At 39.7% G+C, this 22,472-nt stretch overlaps 1 protein-coding gene, 1 long non-coding RNA gene and 1 pseudogene across 6 annotated transcripts in view; 2 read left to right on the top strand and 1 right to left on the bottom strand.

Annotated features, from left to right (window-relative positions):
- The window catches only part of POTEF (POTE ankyrin domain family member F), a 55,688-nt gene that overhangs the window by 841 nt on the left and 32,375 nt on the right, over nucleotides 1-22,472 (top strand). The window contains exons 2-8 of one of the 5 annotated variants that reach the window (NM_001099771.2): nucleotides 518-673; nucleotides 7,774-8,387; nucleotides 13,054-13,168; nucleotides 13,328-13,501; nucleotides 16,281-16,387; nucleotides 17,702-17,839; nucleotides 20,303-20,373. In NM_001099771.2, the coding sequence (NP_001093241.1) occupies nucleotides 7,867-8,387; nucleotides 13,054-13,168; nucleotides 13,328-13,501; nucleotides 16,281-16,387; nucleotides 17,702-17,839; nucleotides 20,303-20,373 (1,126 nt within the window). In that variant the 5' untranslated portion in view covers nucleotides 518-673; nucleotides 7,774-7,866. Of the gene's footprint in view, nucleotides 1-517; nucleotides 674-7,083; nucleotides 8,388-13,053; nucleotides 13,199-13,327; nucleotides 13,502-16,280; nucleotides 16,388-17,701; nucleotides 17,840-20,297; nucleotides 20,374-22,472 lie in introns of those variants that run through there. The other 4 variants (XM_047445721.1, XM_017004833.2, XM_017004834.2 and 1 more) reach the window with 4 other exon arrangements.
- Nucleotides 18,025-20,795, bottom strand: POTEF-AS1 (POTEF antisense RNA 1). The gene is made up of 2 exons (XR_007087238.1): nucleotides 20,576-20,795; nucleotides 18,025-19,095 (listed from the first exon to the last, which is right to left on the bottom strand). It is a non-coding gene; the product is annotated as a POTEF antisense RNA 1 (long non-coding RNA).
- Nucleotides 19,080-19,186, top strand: RNU6-1049P (RNA, U6 small nuclear 1049, pseudogene; annotated as a pseudogene).

Raw genomic sequence — 22,472 nt, 5'->3', positions numbered from 1 at the left:
GCTCCTTCGGGTGACTCTTCTCTTTTCCAGACTCCAGAGTTCCTCCTGGTGCAATCTTGAGCAGGGCAGGGCCCCCACACCCACTGCGGTTCTCCGGCCTGCACCTCCCGCCCACACCCCATGCTCTGTGTTGGGGAGACCACCTGGGACTACCGGGTGGGGATTAGTGGGCATCGCGGGGGACTGTGGGAACAGGGCACTGTGGGTGGAGGTGTCAGGAATGGGAACCAGCAGTTGAGTGGGGAGGGCTGGCTGGGTCTGAGTTTCTCCTACTCCTGCTCCCCAAGGAGTGCAGCCCTGGTGGGCCCAGCAATTTCTGGCCAGTTGCACCTGGATGGGGGTGGTTTCAGCATAGGCACTCACACCCGCCCCAGTTCCTGGCCACCTTTTGCCAGAAAGAGAGGCTGGACTTCGGTGGGTGGGTCTGAGTGCCTTAGCTGAAGCTGGTCCCTGCCACCCAGTGGCCAGCATGACAAGGTGAGGCTCTAACGTTACCACTCCCTGCATCCCATTCTAGGCTTTTCTGGCTTTGCCCGTCTAGCTGCTCCAAGCCAGGCTGGAGGAGGAGGAGAAGGAATCACCTGTGGTACGCTGGAGCCTGCATGTGGCGTGACTCTGCAGCTCGCCTCGTGTGACTGATGGCAGCCACGGAGACTGCAGCTCGACAGGAGTGGTAGGAGGGTGCCCGCGGGGGCAAGGTGGTAGGAACCTTGTAGGGTGGGCTGCTGCATTGATGGCGACAGCAATTGTATTGGCATTGGTGCTAGTGGTGGTAGTGGCAGAAAGTCTGGGGACTGGGAAGGGGGAGTAGGAGCACTGCAGGGCCCAGTCCGACCTGGGGTGGGGACGAACCTGCTGGTGCTGTACCATGGGCCTCGGTGGCAGTGGTGGAGGTGCACTTAGGGAAAGGAGTCCTCCCCCTTCTCTTGCAATCTCTGGAGGGTGGCCTCCTTCTGAGCCAGGCATGAGTGGCAGCATTGTCTCATTCTTAACAAAATTTAGGGGGTGACTGTGTGTGTGTGTGTGTGGCTTTTTTTTTTTTTTTTTTTTTTTTTTTGAGACAGAGTCTCGCTCTTTTGCCCAGGCTGGAGTGCCGTGGTGTGATCTCGGCTCACTGCAAGCTCTGCTTCCTGGGTTCACACCATCCTCCTGCCTCAGCCTCCCTAGTAGCTGGGACTACAGGCGCCTGCCACCACGCCCAGCCAATTTTATTTTTGTATTTTTAGTAGAGATGGGGTTTCACAGTGTTAGCCAGGATGGTCTAGATCACCTGACCTCATGATCCACCCACCTTGGCCTCCCAAAGTGCTAGGATTATAGGCGTGAGCCACCACTCCCGGCCATTTTTTCCTTCTTTTTTGTTGTGATGGTCTTGGACTTTTTCAAATTTTGTGAATTGGGGAGGGGATAAAAGGTGTCATAATAGGCCTTCTAATTCCTGCACCTGTTCTTTTTGCTTATTCTAGTCTGTGTATTCTTCTCATCTTCTTGTTCCTCTTCATTTTCTTTTGCTGCTGCTTCTATTTCATGTTTCTATTCTTGTTTCTCCTCCTCTTTTTGTTTTCTTTATGCCAAGCAATGGCCTTAACAAACAACAAGCCAAAATTGTCACTGTGTTGTATTTTTAAAATAACTGGTCCTTTACTATGTTTTAGGGATGAGGAAAAAAATCAGTTGTATAATTAGTTACTTGAATAGCTATGCTTTCACGATTGTGTTAAACCACTTATGCCTAGTGTTCCATTATTGGAATGGTAAGCATGAGGGAGTTAATTACATCCTACTGCTCAAGGTCATTAGAAGGTTTGATTTTTCACTCGTGCAAAAATTCAAAAAATTGCAGCCTCTGGCATAAATGGGCTAATGCGTTGTAAGTAGTTATTCAGAGAATCAAAAAATGAAGCATCACATAAAAATATTGGTGGCAAACAGCCATTTCATCTCTCTCACATATTTGGAGCTATGCAGGAGTCACGGGGTAAGTTCTAATTTATGAGATTATTAAGTGAACTGTATTGCCTTCATTTTCTCTGCCACCATTTCCTTTGTTTTCTTTCTTTTTTTTTTTTTTTTTTTTTGAGATGGAGTTTTGCTCTTGTTGCCCAGGCTGGAGTGCAATGGGGCGATCTCGGCTCACTGCAACCTCCGCTTCCTGGGTTCAAGCAAGTCTCCTGCCTCAGCCTCCTGAGTAACTGGGATTGCAGGCATGTGCCACCATGCCCAGCTAACTTTGTGTTTTTAATAGAGATGGGTTTTCTCTATGTTGGTCAGGCTGGTCTTGAACTCCCGACTTCAAGTGATCCACCTGTCTCAGCTTCCCAAAGTGCTGGGATTGGAGGTGTGAGCCACCACGCCTGGCTCTCTGCCACCATTTTCAAGAGTATTGTCATCTGCCTGAGCAAACCTGGTTCATCACCACCTCTTTGCAAGAGAAAAAGGAAGTCGGGAGAATTGTGTGTAATTTTTTTTTTTTTTGAGATGAAGTCTCGCTCTTGTCCCCCAGGCTGTAGTACGATGGCCCGATCTTGGCTCACTGCAACCCCTGCCTCCTGGGTGAAAGCAGTTCTCCTGCCTTGGCCCCCTGAGTAGCTGGGATTATAGGTGCCTGCCACCACGCCCGGCTACTTTTTGTATTTTTAGTAGAGATGGGGTTTCACCCTGTTGGCCAGGCTGGCCTAGAACACCTGACCTCAGGTGATCCACCCACCTCGGTCAGCTGTGTGTATTTTAAGGCAAAGATTCACAACCAAAAACAAGGCTTTATTAACTTTTGTATCTAAGAACCTGCAGTGTCGAGCCCTCTTTTATTCCTAGTATTACTACTTTAGGTGTGAACTTTTTATCTTTATTTTACTGATTCCTCTAGAAGTTTATGCATTTTCTTGACTGCTTTAAAGACAATCTATATTGTATCATTTTTCAAGCCCGTAGAAATGTGTAAGGCCTATAATTTGAACACTTGTTATTTTTAAGGTTATGAGCATGTAATATACCGTTGATACATGGAAGAATATGTATAAATACCACTAGATAGGTTATATTGAAGAGATAATATCTAAATTTTTGTCCAGAGTTGATGGGGTGCAGTTTTGTAGGTGTGTTTCTCAATACATTGTGTCCATGTTTTAAAGCATATAGAAATTTGAATACTGTTTAACCTCATATAGTCCTTGTTTATAGGTTTAATATTTCTAAAGACTAAAGACGTCACAGCTCCCTTTAAGATTCAGTAATACTAATAAAATTTGAGATATACAGGGTTAGAGTCCAACAAATTCAAAGGAAAATTGTTGAATTATATAGCCGTAGAGCAGGAATGAAACCCAGGTTCTAAGTTCCAAGGGGGCCATGAGCTACCATACAGGTGCATCAGTGACTGGGCATAGAGGTGGCAAAATTATTTAAGAGAGTGAGCTGTGGATCCTAATTATGTGAACATGAATTTTTGAACTGCATGGTGCCTCAGTTTATCCATCATTACAGTGGGGACAGTAGTAAGTTTTTCTTTTTCTGCTCAGTTGTCTGAATTATTACCCCAGTCTCTCTTGTTGCCACTCTTGATGCCCACATGAGAGGATCTAAGGTAATTTCTGACAACCTGGGACTCCTTAAGGAAAAACAGAAGGTTCCACAAACCCCATTTTAGGAGAAACCTCTGTTTTCCTCATGGAACCCCAAGAACTTTAAGCAGACAGGTCCCTCTCAAAAATCTAAGGCTCTGCTCTGTTTTGCCTTGCGTTGTCTGACCTTTTTGGTTTGGATGGGCATCAGAAATTAGTAGGGGAGAGAGATCTAAAGAAAATTGTGGATATGAAGATGTATTTATTGTAAGAAATGTTATGAAGGAAAGAAATGTTATATGAGAGAGGATCTTATATGGCAAATTGTTGTCCTAAAGTAGAATGACTAATTACAAAAGAGGGAAATACAGGACAGGTCAGATAAATTTAATCATGTTGTAGATAGTCTGTGGAAGTTGTGTTATGATTCATAAAGTGGGAAAGAAAAACTGAACAACTGCTAGATCTTTTCTTGTCTAGAAGTGTTGTGTATGTGATGTATATATAATGGCTCGGCTTAAAAGAAAATGAAAGCTCTTAAATATTTTGTAAGAAAAATAGAAGCTCTAATGCCTTTTATTTCATGTGACTTCAGTAATCTTTGGGAAATAAAGATGGTGTTAAAGTCAGTGGTAAAATAAAAATATCTTCAAAATTTATCCATTTGGTCTAACTTAAGTCAGAGGTTAAGTTTTAGAAGTGCTTTAATGTCATAAATTGATGCTTTGACTTTGGAAAATAGTTTTGTTTACCTGGTTTGGAGCCGTTAGATTTCTAGGTAAGGTCTCCGGACAGGTGGAGTTAGCCATGTCTCCTAGCTATGCTGGAAGGAGTCAGATTTTATCTGCAGTTCTGTCTTGTATCCTAGACTCTGCACCTGGTATGCAATTAAAACTTACTGCTGCTGCTAATCTCTGGGTTCCATTTAAAATCCTTCCATCACATGAATACTATCCCCTGTACTAAATTTTTCCACAATTAAATACTTAGAATCATTTTTGCTGACTTGACCCAACCATTAGTGATATATTTTAAAAATGCTTATAATGTGTCACAATATATTTAGCAAATGTAGGGAATGACATTTTTACTTTCTTCAGCATTTACATAGCATTTATGTAGCAATGCTATCTCAAGTATTTTTAATCATTTAAATGTTAGATAATAGATATGTTTTTTATTCCTTTTTTCTATGTAAATAAATATAATTATGAGATATTTAGTAAATAGTATCAATTGCATATGTCACTTACAGAATATACAATGAAATTAGGATTATTTTTATACACTACATCATATTTACTTGTTGGCTTTCCAATAACTTAGAAATAGTATTCTGGATTAACTGTGTGACTCATGAGAGAGGGAGTTTGTGCAATTATAGTCTTTACAAATTTTTACTAGATTTTTCAAGACTTATGCTAGAACTTTGAGAACAAGGTAATAAATAAGCATATCTGTTAATATCACCTTTGGTCAACTCTTGGCTAGACCCAATGATAATGTAGGAATTAACATAATTTTTCTACTAAAGGTGTTGGATTTGTTCCGAGAGACCACAGTTCAAAGTCATTGACAAAGAAAGTTTAAAAATTGTTAGATTAAAACCTTTTAGTGTGTTTGAAATTGTTTTGTAGAAAAATATCCTGGTTTGCATTGATAGGTTTTTTTTTAAATAACAACTAGACCAAGAGAAAGGGAGAGTAGTGATAAATGTCCATGTTTTCGAGTTGAAAAGTAACAATCAGTGTATTACAACAGATGGATTTGATGTCAAATTACAAATGCTGAGAACGTTATATGTAACTGACTTGCCAGAGTAATTATACAAGGCAAAGAAAGGAAAGGCATCTAAATAGGAAGGGAAGGGGTGAGATTGTCTGTGTTTTAGACTCCACAAAAAACCCATTACAGCTGATAAACACTATATTCAATAAAGTTGAGAGTTACAAAATTAACATTGGCTTCTATACACCAATGACAAACTGTTATCTGAAAAATAAGGTAATTCCATTTATAATAGCAACAAAACAAATATATAAGTAAATCAAAGAGCAAGGAGTAATTTTAATGAAGGATGTGAACGATTTGTATACTGAAAATTATAGCACATTGATGAAAGAAATTGAAAGTGACAAATAGAAAAAGTCCTATATCAATTGAAAAAATTAATATTGTCAAAATTTCAATGCTACTCAAAGCATTCTACAGATTAAATGCAACCGCTGTCAAATTCCAATGTCATTCTTCACAGAAATAGAAAAATTAGTCCTAAAATCTGAATGGAACCACAAAAGATGCTGAAAAACGAAAGCAATCTTTAGCAAAAAGAACAAACCTGGAGGCATCAGACTACCTAATCTTTGACAAAGCAAACAAGAAAATGGGAAAGGACACCCTATTCAACATATGCTGCTGGTATAATTGGCAAGCCACATGCAGAAAAATGAAGCCGTTCTTCAAAGGTTAAATACAGAATTACCACATGACTCAGTAAATTCACTCCTATGTATACACCAAAAATAAATTAAAACAAATGCCTTACACATAAAAGTATTTATAGCAACAAAAAGTAGGAAACAACAGAAATGTCCATGAATTTTGGAGTGGATTAATAAAATGTGGTCTGTCCATAAAATAAAATATTACTTGGCAATGAAAAAGAAAAACATATTAATACATGCTCCAAAAAGGATGAACATTGAAAACATGATAAATGAAAGTAGTAAGTCACACGTAACTATATTATTATGATTCCACTTACATGAAATGTCCAGAATAGGCAAATCCTTCCAGAATAGGCAAATTCTTAGGTAATAGATGGATGATTGCCTAGGGCTGGGAGAGGTTTAAAGGAAGAATGGGGAAAATAGGGAAAGATTGCTAATGGGTGCAAAGTTTCTTTTAAGGAGCATAAAAATGTTCTAAAATCATGGTGATTGTTTAACTAGTTAATACACTTAAAAAACTGAATTTTATACTTTAAATGAGTGAATTAAATAATATATAAATTGTATCTCAATGAACCTGTGAAAAAAGTTAAAAAATATGTGGTATGCATAAACAAAAAGTTCTTCATTTTATTTCCTAGGGTTTTGGGGAAAAGGTGGTGTTTGATTATATGAGTAAGTTCTTTAGAGGTGATTCAGGAGATTTTGGTGCACCCAACACCTGTGCAGTATACACTGTATACACTGCACCGGGGCAGGAGCTGGCTGCAATCCTGTGGCCCCAAATGCCCCCTTGCTGATGGCCTCGTGTTCTGGGTGCGGAGCAAAGAGGAGCAGGTGTTGAAGGCACCTCAGGCAGGCCCTGGGCTCGGTGGGCGTCTTGTGCTCCGCGATTTTGAGGCCATTTGCAGCCAGCTCCGTCAGCCCGAGCTCCCAGCTGCAGCTGCTGCCATGCACAACAGCACCGCCAGGAGTGTCCTGGGGGCTTTTTTCAAAGGAGGCTGTCAGCATCCTCAAGTTCCAGACGCTTAGCCCCAGTCCTCCTTTAAGAGGCTTTTTTTTTTTCACCAGAGGCTTCTCAGTGGCTTGAAAGCTCAGCTGACTCCCACGAAGTTTGCCGGAACTCAAGGCTGTCAGTGACATTCGTGGCGCCAAGACTTAAGCAGGCGCGTTGCATGCATCGGCCAGTGTCTGTGCCACGTGCCCTGACGCCACCTGAGATAAGCACGCCGCACGCGCACGCGCACGCCGCGCGCACACGCCCGGCAGCAGCTTGGCTGGCTTGTAACGGCTTGCACGCGCACGCCGCACGCGCATAACGGTTTGGCCGGCCTGTAACGGCTTGCACGCGCACGCCGCACGCGCGTAACGGCTTGGCTGGCCTGTAATGGCTTGCACGCGCATGCTGCACGCGCTTTAACGGCTTGGCTGGCCTGTAGCGGCTTGGCTTGGCTTTGCGTTCTTGGCTTGGCTTGGCGTTGGTAGCTTGGATTGACGTTTCCTGCTTGGATTGACGTTTTCTCTCTCGTGTTCCTTTGCTGGGCTTGACCTTTTCTCTGCTGGGTTTGGCATTCCCTTGGGTGGGCTGGGTGTTTTCTTGGGGGCGGGGGTTGGCCCTTTCTGGGGTGGGCGTGGGGTCGCCCAGGGGGGGCGTGGGCTTTCCTCGGGTGGGTGTGGGTTTTCCCTGGGTGGGGTGGGCTGGGCTGGAATCCCCTGCTGGGGTTGGCAGGTTTTGGCTGGGATTGACTTTTCTCTTCAAACAGATTGGAAACCCGGAGTTACCTGCTAGTTGGTGAAACTGGTTGGTAGACGCGATCTGTTGGCTACTACTGGCTTCTCCTGGCTGTTAAAAGCAGATGGTGGTTGAGGTTGATTCCATGCCGGCTGCCTCTTCTGTGAAGAAGCCATTTGGTCTCAGGAGCAAGATGGGCAAGTGGTGCTGCCGTTGCTTCCCCTGCTGCAGGGAGAGCGGCAAGAGCAACGTGGGCACTTCTGGAGACCACGACGACTCTGCTATGAAGACACTCAGGAGCAAGATGGGCAAGTGGTGCCGCCACTGCTTCCCCTGCTGCAGGGGGAGTGGCAAGAGCAACGTGGGCGCTTCTGGAGACCACGACGACTCTGCTATGAAGACACTCAGGAACAAGATGGGCAAGTGGTGCTGCCACTGCTTCCCCTGCTGCAGGGGGAGCAGCAAGAGCAAGGTGGGCGCTTGGGGAGACTACGATGACAGTGCCTTCATGGAGCCCAGGTACCACGTCCGTGGAGAAGATCTGGACAAGCTCCACAGAGCTGCCTGGTGGGGTAAAGTCCCCAGAAAGGATCTCATCGTCATGCTCAGGGACACTGACGTGAACAAGCAGGACAAGCAAAAGAGGTAACCAGGCCTGGGCTGGGAGGAGGTGGGACGTGGGGGGATGATGGGGACATACCCTCCTGGCGGGGGAGGAGGGGGACCTGGCTTTCTCGCCTCCGCAGGCCTCACACCACCCTGGATGTGGAAACCTCAGAGAGGTCAGGGTACAGGGCCCTTTATGAACAGCAACACAAAAACAAAACTTTAGCTGATTTCCAATCATAATTTCCCTCATAGAACACTAATAGACTGTTTTAAAGTGATTTAACTTGCAAAATTAATTAAGTCAATGCAGCAGATTATTTTTAATCTACAGATTTTAAAACAATGTTCTATACATTATAGAAAAGTGTATATTGAGAACTAAGAACGAAGCCCCATAACACATCAACTTCAGGGCTAAATATTCTTCAAATAAAATCCAGTATGGATTTTATATCAATGTACAGTATGTAAATATGTTCTTTACTGAGGAACCTTAGAAGGAAACTGAAATGGGAAGATGGTTCCTGTGCTTGAACAGGAAGATTGAATTTTCTTAAGATGTGAGCTTTTTGGCTGGGCGCGGTGGCTCACGCCTGTAATCCCAGCACTTTGGGAGGCGGGCGGATCATGAGGTCAGGAGATTGAGACCATCCTGGCTAACACGGTGAAACCCTGTCTCTACTAAAAAATATAAAAAAAATTAGCCGGGTGCGGTGGTAGACGCCTGTAGTCCCGGCTACTCAGGAGGCTGAGGCAGGAGAATGGCGTGAACCCGGGAGGTGGAGCTTGCAGTGAGCCGAGATAGTGCCACTGCACTCCAGCCTGGGCAACAGAGCGAGACTCCGTTTCAAAAAAAAAAAAAAAAGATGGGAGCTTTTTCTATTTATCACTTTTACCTAAGCCAAATAAAAATAGCAAAGTTTTAGCGTTTTTAAATTACACATGCTGTCTTTTATTATTGTGATAAATTAATTTTTTGTAACAGAATGGAAAAAGGCTGCTTTTCCAGATATCAAAATGTGCATGTTATTTATTTCCACAAATTGTTTACTAACAGCTGAAAAGACATCAATGAATACAACAGAATAGGAAATTTAGAAATACCCAAATATATGTTAAGAATTTAGCGCTTGATAATGGTGGTGTTTTTTATTATTTGAAAAAGATGGATTGTTCATAATTCATGTTTGGAGAAAACTAGCTAGATTTTTATGTCACAAAAATAAGAGTATAGATTAAAAAATTTAAATATACAAAAAGAGAAACATACCAGAAGAGAAACATACAAATGCCTATTTATATATGCAGATATATATTTATATATATACTTTTTTTTGGATGGAGTCTGACTCTGCTGCCCCGGCTGGAGTGCAGTAGTGCGATCTCGGCTCACTGCAACCTCTGCCTCCTAGGTTCAAGCAATTCTCTGCTTCAGCCTACTGAGTAGCTGGGATTACAGGCGCCTGCCACCACGCCTGGCTAATTGCTTTGTATTTTTAGTAGAGATGGGGTTTCACCATCTTGGCCAGGCAGGTCTTGAACTCCTGCCCTCGTGATCCACCCACCTTGGCCTCCCCAAGTGCTGGGGTTACAGGCGTGAGCCACTGTGCCTGGCCATATTTGCAGACATAATAAAATAAGCTCATTTTAAAATTGGGCAAAGTACTTTTTTTGCATATCTACCAGTGACCTATGCACATAGGAAAAGATAGCGTTCCTGGTAGAAGAAGGAATGTAAGTTAGAAGAGGAATGAAATACTGTTTTCTATTTAAGTTAGAAGAGGAATGAAAGGCCGGGTACAGTGGCTTACGCCTGTTACCCCAGCACTTTAGGAGGCTGAGGCAGGTGGATCATGAAGTCAGGAGTTTGAGACCAGCCTGGCCAGTGTGGTGAAATCCCATCTCTACTAAAAATACAAAAAATTAGCTGGGCATGGTGGCACGCACCTGTAATCCCAGCTACTTAGAAGGCTGAAGCAAGAGAATTGCTTGAACCAGGGAGGTGGAGGTTGCAGTGAGCCGAGATCGCGCCACTACATTCCAGCCTGGGTGATAGAGTGAGACTCCATCTCAAAAAAAAAAAAGAAAAAAAAAAGGAATGAAATACTGTTTTTTATCCACAAAGTTTGTGAGGATGAAGAACAGTGGTACTTACGTAGTCATTTAAAGTTTAAATTGCTACAGCTTTTCAAACAAACACTTTAGTGGTAAGAACCACATTTTTAAAATGTTATGCTTTTTACTCATCAATTCCATTATACTGAAATATCTTTACCAAATAGAGGTCTGTTTTTCTTAGTATTGATTAAAATAGCAGTGTATTTAGAAGAACCCATATAAAGATTTCATGGACAAATTTCAGTGCATCCATAGGATGGACTAATATGTAACTATTGAGGTTGTCAGTAGATACAGAGATATGTCGACATGCAAAGATGTACTTTGCTATAACAAGTGAGAAAAAAAATCGGTTACACATATACACGAACAGAATCTGCTCGTGTTAGCTGAAAACATGTAGAAAATATAATCAAACTTGTTTCTGGGGATTTGTAAGTGAAGTTTTTCCCTTTCTCTTATCTGTGATTTCTGCAATGAACATCTGAAGTTTTAGTTAAAGTTCATTAGTAATGCAATAATCCTTGGGAAGAGAAGGAATATGCTTCTTGCATAGATGCAAATAATTTGTCACATTCTATTATTTATTTTTCTATCTGTGGTTGGCTATCTTCCGTGAACTTTTACCCTCTTCAGAAGTAGAGGGATTGTGTTTACCTGTTCCTGTAGATTTTATTGTATATACATTTTATTACATAATTATCTTTTCATTAGATATAGATTAACATGTAAAAAGTATGAATTAATCATTTTAGTTGAGTTATATGTTTATGAAAATTAAAATAGCAAATGTAAGTGATTATTACTATTGCAAATGTATTGCATTACTCGACAGGAGTTTTCTTTGAAAATATTGAACTCCCAAGCTGTGTTCATCCATTCTTTCAATCCATTTAGTCATCAGACATAAGCCAGACACCTATTATGTGGCAGGCATATTCTACTATCTCTCAGGATCCTTCCACCTTTGAAAACTTCATGTTTATCTGCTGGGCTTGAGCAAGATGAGAGATTTAAAATTGGTGCATTAGGACTTAATCTCAATTGAAGCTTTTCCTCCCTCCTTTCAAACAGAAGCATTTCTGAAGGTAGAAAATAGTAAAAGACAACCCTTAACTGCCCTTTTGAAAATTTATAAGTCTTGGAGAAAGACTGTTTTAGTTGTTTTAAGAACTAAAATGTGGTACATAAACAGCATGGAATACTATGCAGCCATAAAAGAAGGAACGAGAGCATGTCCTTTGCAGGGACATGGATGGTGTTGAAAGCCATTATCCTTAGCAAACTAACAAAGGAAGAGAAAACCAAATATTGCATGTTCTTACTTATAGGTGGGAGCTAAATGGTGAGAACACACAGATACCTAGAGGGAAGCAACACACACTGGGGCCTATTACAGGGTGAAGGGTGGGAGGAGGGAAGGAAGCAGGAAATAGAATGAATGGGTACTGGGCTTAACACCTGAGTAATGAAATAATCTGTACAACCAACCCCCTTGGTGCACGTGTTTACCTGTGTAACAAACCTGCACATCTGGCACGTGTACCCCTGAATGTAACAGTTGAAAAAAGCTCCACAAATCGTTTCATAAATCCGTTTTAAAAGGAGAAAATTTATAACAGTCTTAAATCCTAATATGAATGATTGGAAATATCTGATGTACATACATTGTATAAATCTAAGTATTGACAAAAATGAGCCCATGCTATTCATTTGAATTCCAGGTTTTCTTTGGCTTAAAGTTTATTGAAAACCAAAGTAAGAATTGGTTTATTTTAGAAATTTGTTTTTGTTTTCACCTCAGCTTTCTTATTCCATAGTTCTTTTAAGAACCAAAATTTATCTAAATGCTGGTCATCTGACTGGAACCGCCCCGGACCTGTTATAACATATTCTACTTCATGTAAGACACCAGGGATTGTGTGATGCCCCATTATTTTATGCCTCAATAAGAGAATTATTTAAATGCCGCCAATTATAGTAAATCATGAATTGTAAGTGGTATTTCAGTGGAGACAACATGGAGACAATGATCATCTCAGAATCACTAAAATACAATGTTAGCTGTAATATTTAAAACACACCTGAAAGTGTAGGTATAATTGTATCATCTCAATTCAAATGTTGTCTTTAGTGGTATTAGTAAAAATTAAAATATCTAACAATTATTGAGCTGTTATTTGTGTTAGGAACTATTCTATATCTTTTGTGCAGAGTCTCATTTAAGCATTAGAGTGGTTTCCTGTGAGAAAGCTACTATTTTCATTCCTATTTTATTGATGAGGAAACTGAGACCCCAAAAGGCTAAGCAACAGCCAGGAAGTGACAGAGCTTCAAGTAGGATTCCAGCCCACGTTGAATGTCATCCAAGGGCTATGCTCTTTATATTCATATAGGCTGCCCTTTCATTAATACAGCGAGCAATGAGAGATAATAAATAGTGTGCTTTTTTCATGGGAAAGTTAAATGTTTGTTTTGAAGGCAGAGTAATAGCAGGCTATTCAGTGTTTGCAGTTACATGAATCATTGCTATGGCTGTAGCTAGTGCACTACAATTTCCTAAAAAGTCTTCTCACTCTCATAGGACTGCTCTACATCTGGCCTCTGCCAATGGGAATTCAGAAGTAGTAAAACTCCTGCTGGACAGACGATGTCAACTTAATGTCCTTGACAACAAAAAGAGGACAGCTCTGATAAAGGTATGCAGTAGCCAACTATATCAGCATGAGGTGGGTTTGATTTCAATACATGGCATAAAAATGAGTTTTCTCCTTTAAATATAACTAGTTGGTGAAAGCTGTGGAATGTTATTTTGAATTCCTAAGATTTGTAATTTGTTTTTGGTCTAATACTGACAGGCCGTACAATGCCAGGAAGATGAATGTGCGTTAATGTTGCTGGAACATGGCACTGATCCAAATATTCCAGATGAGTATGGAAATACCACTCTGCACTACGCTATCTATAATGAAGATAAATTAATGGCCAAAGCACTGCTCTTATATGGTGCTGATATCGAATCAAAAAACAAGGTATAGATCTACCAATTTTATCTTCAAAATACTGAAATGCATTCATTTTAACATTGACCTGTGTAAGGGCCAGTCTTCCATATTTGGAAGCTCAAGCATAACCTGAATGGAAATATTTTGAAATGACCTAATTATCTAAGACTTCATTTTAAATATTGTTACTTTCAAAGAAGCATTAGAGGGTACAGTTTTTTTTTTTAATGCACTTGTGGTAAATACTTTTTTTGAAAACACTGAATTTGTAAAAGATAATACTTACTATTTTTCAATTTTTCCCTCCTAGGATGTTTTTTCCCTATTGAATGTAAAATGGCAAAATTTGCCCTGAAATAGGTTTTACATGAAAACTCCAAGAAAAGTTAAACATGTTTCAGTGAATAGAGATCCTGCTCCTTTGGCAAGTTCCTAAAAAACAGTAATAGATACGAGGTGATGCGCCTCTCACTGGCAAGGCTTAAGATATTTCTGATTGCTCATGAGCCAGAAGTGGAAAGCAAAAAAGAGAGCAATCAGAAATATCAAGGCCAATTTGGAAATTAGATAATGGAGGGAAAAGACCATGAAGAGGTTGTGTGTGTGTGTGTTGTTGTTGTTGTTGACTGATTTGTTTCCTTTGCATGGTGAGACAAGGTTCTCTTCAATTTTAGAGAATGACAGTTTTCAGTTTGGGAGAGGGAGTTAGTGGGTTGTAAACTACCTAGAGATCAATTTTAGGAGGCCTCTGAGGAACCAGATTGGCAGTGAATAGGTGGTAATGTAAGAGGAAACCCTTGAGCAGAGGGAATATCAAGTAATTAACTGACTTAGTATCCTATTCTGGTAGAAATGGCCAATGAGAGTCTCAGCTCTGCTTTCAAATCTAGAGTGTCTGGATGGGAAGGTGGAAGATAAACAAGTAACAAGATCAAGTTGGATTTTGAGTTGACTAGACCCTGTTCTTCTCTTACCGGGGAAAATCATGTGGTGTTTTCAGCAAATGGGTCTCTCTCCTACTCCTTACTCTTTTTGGCCAAATCTTCAAATGAGAAAGGGAATTGGTCATGTGGGTGAGAAATGAGACTGAAGTAATTGTCTGTTGCACTAGCTTTCAGCTAGAATTGTGCATCCTAGTAACCTGAGGAAAATGTTTAAATAACAAGTCTAGGCTTTTTCTGAATATTTTGATACAGTAAGTCTAATAAAGCCTGGATATGTATATTTGAAAATGTTTCCTTGAAGCCAGGCATGGTGGTGCATGGCTGTAGTCCCAGCTGCTAGGGAGGCTGAGGTGGGAGGATTGCTTGAGCTCAGGAGTTCGAGTCTAGCCTGGTCAACATAATGAGACCCTGTCTCTAACAACAACAACAACAACAACGACAACAACAACAATTTTCTCAAAATCTGGATACACTCCTGCTTAAGAACCACTCAATACATAAATGTAATATGTAAATTCTTATGTCTCAGAAACTTAAGGTATCTCTAGAAGAGTTGGGGTTGGATATGTGCTGATTTCTTTAAATCTTTCCAATAACATTAATCTGACTTTTTTTTTTTTTTGAGATGGGGTCTCACTCTGTTTCCCAGGCTGGAATGCAGTGGTGTGATCACAGCTCACTGCAGCCTCGACCTCTCCAAGCTCAGATGGTCCTCCAACCTCAGTTTTTTTTTTTTTTTTTTCAGTAGAGATGAGGTTTTTGCCATGTTTCTCAGGCTGGTCTTGAACTCCTGGGCTCAAGCGATTCACCCACCTCAGCCTCCCCAAATGCTAGGATTACAGGTGTGAGCCACCATTCCTGACCTAGTCTGACTTTTATCTCTGTGGTTGAGACATTAAAATGAATATTATTGGTAGTATGTATCAGCTTACAGAATAATACCTTTTCCTTCCTACCATCAGTTATTCACTGCCGTTCAGAAGGTCTTTAGAAATTTGCTGTGAGTAGTCTTTCAATAAGTAGAGGATGGCCCTCTCAGGATTTTGTGTCTCTTTGTTCAGTCATTCAAGTACTTAGGTCAGTAAGTCGTTAAGAGCAGAGTTTTCTCAATTAGAATAGTAGCAAATTCTAAACCATTTTTTGTCAATTGACGCTGTATTATGGACTATCCAGTGTGTCTCTTAAGTATGTAGAGCTTTGGCATAATCAGCATGGCAGTTTTAAACACTAAAAACCATGGAGTTATTAAGAATACAGATAGGAATTCTGTTAATTTAGTTTCAGTAGTCCTATGAACTGATGGTTTAGTTAACAATCTGGGAAAATTAAATACAAATAGATTTTAAATAAATAAATGTTGGAAAATTTTTTCAAATGGGCAGTATGAGTTTTAATAGCAATTTTTGTTGCATGTTGGAGGTTGAACTTTTGGTAAAACATGAAACTAAAGAAATATTTTACATGCAGATTCTTGCTTTATACACAATTTGTCTTAGGGTTGAGGATATAGAGACAAAAGATACAGCCCCTGCCCTCAAGAAGCTTTTTGTTTAGATGGGAAAAATATTATCATCCAATAACACCAAGCCAAATGCTGGTTTAGAAGCAAAGAGCCTTGGAAGCAGTAAATGTTTAAAGTGAGTTTTTGAGATGATTAGAGTTACTGTGGTGAGGCAGAGAAGGGGTGTTTCCAAGGGAAGGAGCAGCGTGTGGGAAAGCACAGAAGAGTGAGAAGGAAGTGACTACATTTTATTTACTTCTATGCGTGTAAGTCCATAAGATCTTATATAAAGTTTCCACTTCGGTTGAGGAATATGTACTTTTTTGAATTACATAGGTTTTTGCTTTATATTGTTTTACAGCATGGCCTCACACCACTGTTACTTGGTGTACATGAGCAAAAACAGCAAGTCGTGAAATTTTTAATTAAGAAAAAAGCGAATTTAAATGCACTGGATAGATATGGAAGGTATAGTTCTTTCTTTTAATCTGTGTGTTGTAGATGGACAGCAGTCACTCAAGTCATAAATATTAAATTAATAAGATTAATGTATACTTACTGGGATGTAGTGATCAGTATCAACACAAATCAGTTAGGTAGAAAAACAATTACTTGGGCTGGGCAACATAAAGAACAGTTTTAGTAGGATTCATCTTCTCTTATTATATTGACTGATGTTATTTGTTATGTGACATTTTTGGTTACATGATCTTATGTTAGCTTAAAGGATTTCATATTAATTTTATGAAGTTTGAACTTTAACTTTTAGTTTACTTTATGACTCAGTATTGAACTTCTTAACCCTTTCTAATAGTTTTTAACCTGTGTCTTACATGCTTTTCCATTAAATATGCTGTATTAAACATAAATAGGGGTTGAAAATCCTTTTGTCTTTTTAATGACTTTGCTTTAAGTTGCTTTCTTTGAAGAATATTAGTGTTAGCTTATCCCTACATAACAATTAATTGCTGTTCCCACATACTGTGGGTTCAACAGCTTTTTTCCTTTTGTTTTTCCAGTGTATTTTGATGTTTTTATTTTTAATTGGTATGGAGAGAGGGAGTGAAGATAGTTTTAAGTGGATACACTTTTCCTTTAATGAAGACAAGCCGTACGTGGGTGATAAAGAGAAAAGAGCTAGGCTTTGGATTCACACAAGACTGGGTTTAATTAGTAACTTTCTTACTTGCTAGGTGTGTGACCTTGGGGACGTTATTTACCACCAAATATGTTGTCATATATGAAAAGTAGGAGAATATATCCTTCAAAGTTGGCTGTGCATAAGTAAGAAAGATATATGTGGCATTTAATTCAGTGCCTAGCACATGGTTATTGGCACCATTAACTGAAACTCCTATGACTACTATTCTTACCATTATTATTACTGCTTTGAGCATGCAGAGAGCTCTTATTTCTCTTACCCCCTAGCTGATTTTCTATTACAGCATGTCAGTCTAGGGAAGCTGTGACAAAATCTTCACTTAAATCTTTGTCCACCTCAGATAAGTGGCCCTAACATTGTTTCTTGCCCATCAAAGGACTTTAAATTAGTAGCTTCTGCTATGCAATACCCCACTGAGATAAGAGGGTTTTTTTTGGTCCCTTCCTTTTAACCTTGGTGGCATTTTACAAAGATGAACACTTGAGCACTCAGGTTGCTTATGTCTTTTAGTGCATGTAAATGTTTGATTCTGCACAGACAGGCAAGATGTTACATTGGTAAAGTATATCAAATTAGCTTTAAAAATAACTTTATTACAGTTCCTATCTCTGTCATTTTAGAACTGCTCTCATACTTGCTGTATGTTGTGGATCAGCAAGTATAGTCAGCCTTCTACTTGAGCAAAATATTGATGTATCTTCTCAAGATCTATCTGGACAGACGGCCAGAGAGTATGCTGTTTCTAGTCATCATCATGTGTAAGTGTTTACATTAAAAGGCTAGTTAATGCTGAATTGAGGTTTAAAATAATTATAACAGTTGCATCTCACATATCAGGTGAGATGTCATAGTTTGGTTCAGGTAGTTTTCGCGTGGCAGTGAGTTTTAGTCCCCTGCATCAGCCAGAAATCAGACAAAAAGCAAGACAAGTTAGAAGTACCAATGGGTGCGGGATTCTTTATCTCAGGACTTTTAAGATCTTTATCCTTAGAGATCCCAGCATTGTTCATTTGATCCAAGTGTAACACCTATGCAGGGATAAAAAATAGTGTCACATCTTTAATTTTTCTGATTAGTTATTTGGGTCTTGAAATGTCCAGTTTAGCGGAAAGTCTTGTACTGTCTTCTGGGGACTATGTCCTACATACTCCTTGAATTTTTCAAGAACCGAAGGAGTTCACTAAATCCAAGGAAGACAGTCCCTTTTATCAAGTCAGAAGGAGGAGGAAAAAAGACATTGCAATCATTCTGTTGTTTCCGTTGATTCTGTTGCTGCTTTGTGGCCACTCAAACTGGTCCTGCTGCCTTAAGATGAATCAGTAGATTCAGATCCCTCAAGTCTTCATGGCGATTCATACAGTGACTTTGATGTTTTTTAATTCCCATACCTATGCTTATATGCTCAGCCATTGTTCCCAGAGCACCAGCCCCCTGCTCTGGCCGCTGGGCATCCTGACTTTATCCGCACACAAAGTGACCAAATTGACCCTTCCCCGCATATTCAGAACCTAATGTGGAACCCACATCTTAGCCAGGAATTAGCTGAGACCTTCATGGTAAGAGATCCTTTGAGGCTGTTGTTGGTCTTTTCTCTGGCAGATGTTAGGTGGGCTTGTTCTAAAGGGTGAGAGGGGTTCAAATAATGTGGCAGAAGGAGGTCAGTGTCTGTTTCCTCTTTGCTACCAGATCTGTACTGTGAGGCACCTTTATATCCTGTATAGAACCTTGGGCAGTAGAAAGTCCCGTATGAACCTTGCCCTGAGCAGTGGCTCCCAGCTGTGGTTGGCCCCTTGAGTGATCTGATTTACATGATAATGAAAATTATCGGAGCTACTTCCATCTCTAGCTCAAGATTTTAAGATATTTTCAAACTCTAGCTCACAGGAAGCCATTGAAGAGAATTCTCAGAATCTCAAGTAGGTTAGTTGGACTTCACAGAGCCAAGCCTTGTCCATGACGCATCACTAATCATATGTAAAAGTAGGGCTTTGTGCTTGCTTCGGCGGCACATATCCTAAAATTGGAACAATACGGGGAAAGTTAGCGTGGCTTCTGCATAAGGAGGCAGGACAGATCTTTGAAGCATTCCATATTTTGTGCAGTCACTGGAAGGTCATTTGACTATTTTTGCTGACTAGCTCTGAGGAAATAGTGTGAATCAAAGCAAAATGGGTGCCACCCAAATATTGAAATTGTGATTTGTGCTGCAAAAATAGTCATGTAAGATGGTCTATGAGATGACTTTGAGCTGAATAACATGTTCCGTGCAAAATATATTGTTAGTATGTATGTCGAAAATTACAGAATGTCAGCTTGCTACTTCTCCGTGGAAACTAAAAAAAAAATAAAAGTAGACTTTTGGTCTCCCATGTCAGCTGGAATTGAACATCAATATAAAGCATTATCCTAACAGACATCTACTGGCTGAGAGTTTGAGTCGGTAGAGAAGGATCGTTGGTCCAAGTCAGGTCTTAACATCCATTGGTTTTTCTGCCCTTGGTGTGATTGATCAACTCCGTAATAGTGGACAATCACATTATCTACTTTAATGAGATATTTATGAATAAATTTAGTTATAAACTATGACATAGTTGAGATGCCCTGAATTATAAGCCATAAAGAGTAGGACAACTAAGAAGCAAAATTAGGACTTAATAACATTTTCTGAAAACTACAACATTTGCATATTAGAACCTATGAACAAAATACGCATTGGGTTTTATTTGGGATTCCAAGATAATTTTAGTCATAAAGTTTAGGAACAGATTATTCCATTGCTTTACTATTTCTCTGAGCATTTAAAAAATGTTATCTCGTTAAATCTTTATAACAACCTAGTGAAATAAGGCAGCAAAGTCCTCACTTTGTTGAAGAAGACATTGAGCCTAAGAGAAGCAAGTTGTCCAAGAACAAATAGCTGTTCATTATGGAGCTAGGACTTATGCAGAGTTGGGACACTTTCTATTATGTCATGCTAATGCTAGCTAATTTACTGGGTCACAGTGCCCTCGATTTATGACTATTTCACCTTACATTTTTTTCTTCTTTAATTAGAAGCTTAAAGAGAAGTTTGTAGAATGTACTCACAAGTGGGTGGGATAATACTATTAAGTTCTGTTATTCTGATATTGTTTGAAATACTCTTAATAATTCTACATTTGGTAAGTTTTTTTATATCAGTATTAAAATAGTAATTTGGTTTATTACATTTTTATACATAGAATTTGCCAGTTACTTTCTGACTACAAAGAAAAACAGATGCTAAAAATCTCTTCTGAAAACAGCAATCCAGGTAAGACTTGTGATAGTGAATTACTTTAGTCAGTTGTCCCCAATCTTTTTGACACCAGGGACCGGTTTTGTGGAAGACAATTTTTCCATGGGCTGGGGGAGGGTGGGGATGGTTTCAGGATTATTCAATCATGTTACATTTATTGTGCTACTTTATATTATTATCACATTGTAATATATAATGAAATAATTATACAACTTACCATAATGTAGAATCCGTGGAAGCTCTGAACTTATTTTTCTGCAACTGGATGGTCTCATCTGGGGGCAAAGTGAGACAGTGACAGATCATCAGGCATTAGATTCTCATACGAAGCACACAACCTAGATCCCTCAGATGGGCAGTTCACAACAGGGTTCATGCTCCAATGAGTATCTAATGCTATCACTGATCTGACTGGAGGCAGAGTAGAGGCTGTAATATGAGCCATAAGGAGTGGCTGTAAATACAGATGAAGCTTCCCTGGCTTGCCTGCTGCTCACCTCCTCCTGTGTGGTGTGGTTCATAATAGTCCATGGACTGGTATGAGTCTGTGGCCTGGGAGTTGAGGACCCCTGCTCTGCGTGGTCCTACCATAGATAAAAAAGTAAAAGTAAGGAATTTTTGATCACAAAAGAACACTGAAGCACAAGTCATGTTACATATGCTTGTCCCAATAAGTTCTCACTATTACTGACTTCATTCCTCCTCATTTGAAGTTGGAAAGAGATATATTTACTTTGTTGGAACAAGATGTGTTCTTCTACCTGCTGGTTAATTGTCATCATAACAGTAATTTTGTTAGAACAAGATGCTCTGCTACCATTTGCCAAAAGATTGTCATAATAAATATACAAATTGCCCAACTCTAGGCTCAGCAGATTATAATAAAAGCAGAAAAACGTTTCACGCTAACAAAAATGCTAGTATGCTACCTGGTTGTGGACACCTAATACATTATATTGTCCAAACTGTGTGAGGACACCTTTAATTTAGTCATCTATTTATCAAAGAGCTTTTGTAAGTTAGGTTTTATAAGTTGCAGGAGACAAAGATGGAATAGATGTAGTTTTGATCTTTAAGGTGCTCATAATAGAGCTGTCTCCATTTCATTTCTGTGCTTTTTCAACAGAATTTACAAAGAAAACATTTCTATTTATGTTTTCACTTGTCCACTTAACATATAACTATCAAATGTCTTTTAGATAGTAACCATTTTTCTAATGCTATAGACCACAAACAATTAAAAATACAGACAGGAGCTTTTTGTTATCATTGTCATTTTCATTATTTTACTACTTTATTCAGTGCTTACTGTGTGCTAGATGCCCACTGGAAGCTTATAATTATGATTTATTATATATTGATTATGTGCCAGACATATGTGATGAGGAATGAAAGTTTTGGGAAAAAGTAGGTATGATTTAAGGTAAGCATGCAGAGAGAGAAGAATTTTTCTAGGTAAAGAAGCAGAAGAAGAATGTTTGGCAGAAGGAACATGCAGCGAGGTCGTGTGTTTGCCAGAAGGAACATCTAATGAGATTGCCTGTTTGGGAGGAAGAGCAGCAAGTGCAAAAGACAAGATGCTTGAGTGAACATGGCAGGGTTTCTGAGCAGTTCACTTTTGCTAGTACCAAAAGTGTGTGATACGAGAGGTTGGGAATGAGGTGAATACTTAGCTAAGGCAAGTTTATGATAGACTTTTTAATACTATAGAAATGAGTAGGTCTTATCCTGTGTGCCATGGGAAATTTACTGGGTAGAATGCTTTGGACTGCAAATACTAGATGAACAGTGGCTAAAACAGTAGGAACCAGAGTTGTTTTGGTTGTTCATTGATATCCTAGGATCCCACTTTTCCCTCTTTCAGCTGTGCTGTTGACAGTGTTTTATTCACGTCTCCTTTCATGGTTGGCTAATCCGCAGCAGCTCCAAACATCTTGTTCTCACAACACAACATCGCAAGGGCTGCTTTTCTTCACATGTGTCTTTTAAACAGGGAGAAAACTTAGAAGCATGCAAAGGGCTTCCTGTAACATTTCACTGGCTGGGTCACACCACATGCTCATTCCCAAACCAGGCACTGGGAAGGTAAATACCTGATTAGCTTAGAATAAACA

Source organism: Homo sapiens, chromosome 2, assembly GCF_000001405.40.
Source record: "Homo sapiens chromosome 2, GRCh38.p14 Primary Assembly".
Taxonomy (NCBI): domain Eukaryota; kingdom Metazoa; phylum Chordata; class Mammalia; order Primates; family Hominidae; genus Homo; species Homo sapiens.
Note: the sequence above shows the minus strand (reverse complement) of the source record. Positions and strands in the feature narration are given on the sequence as shown.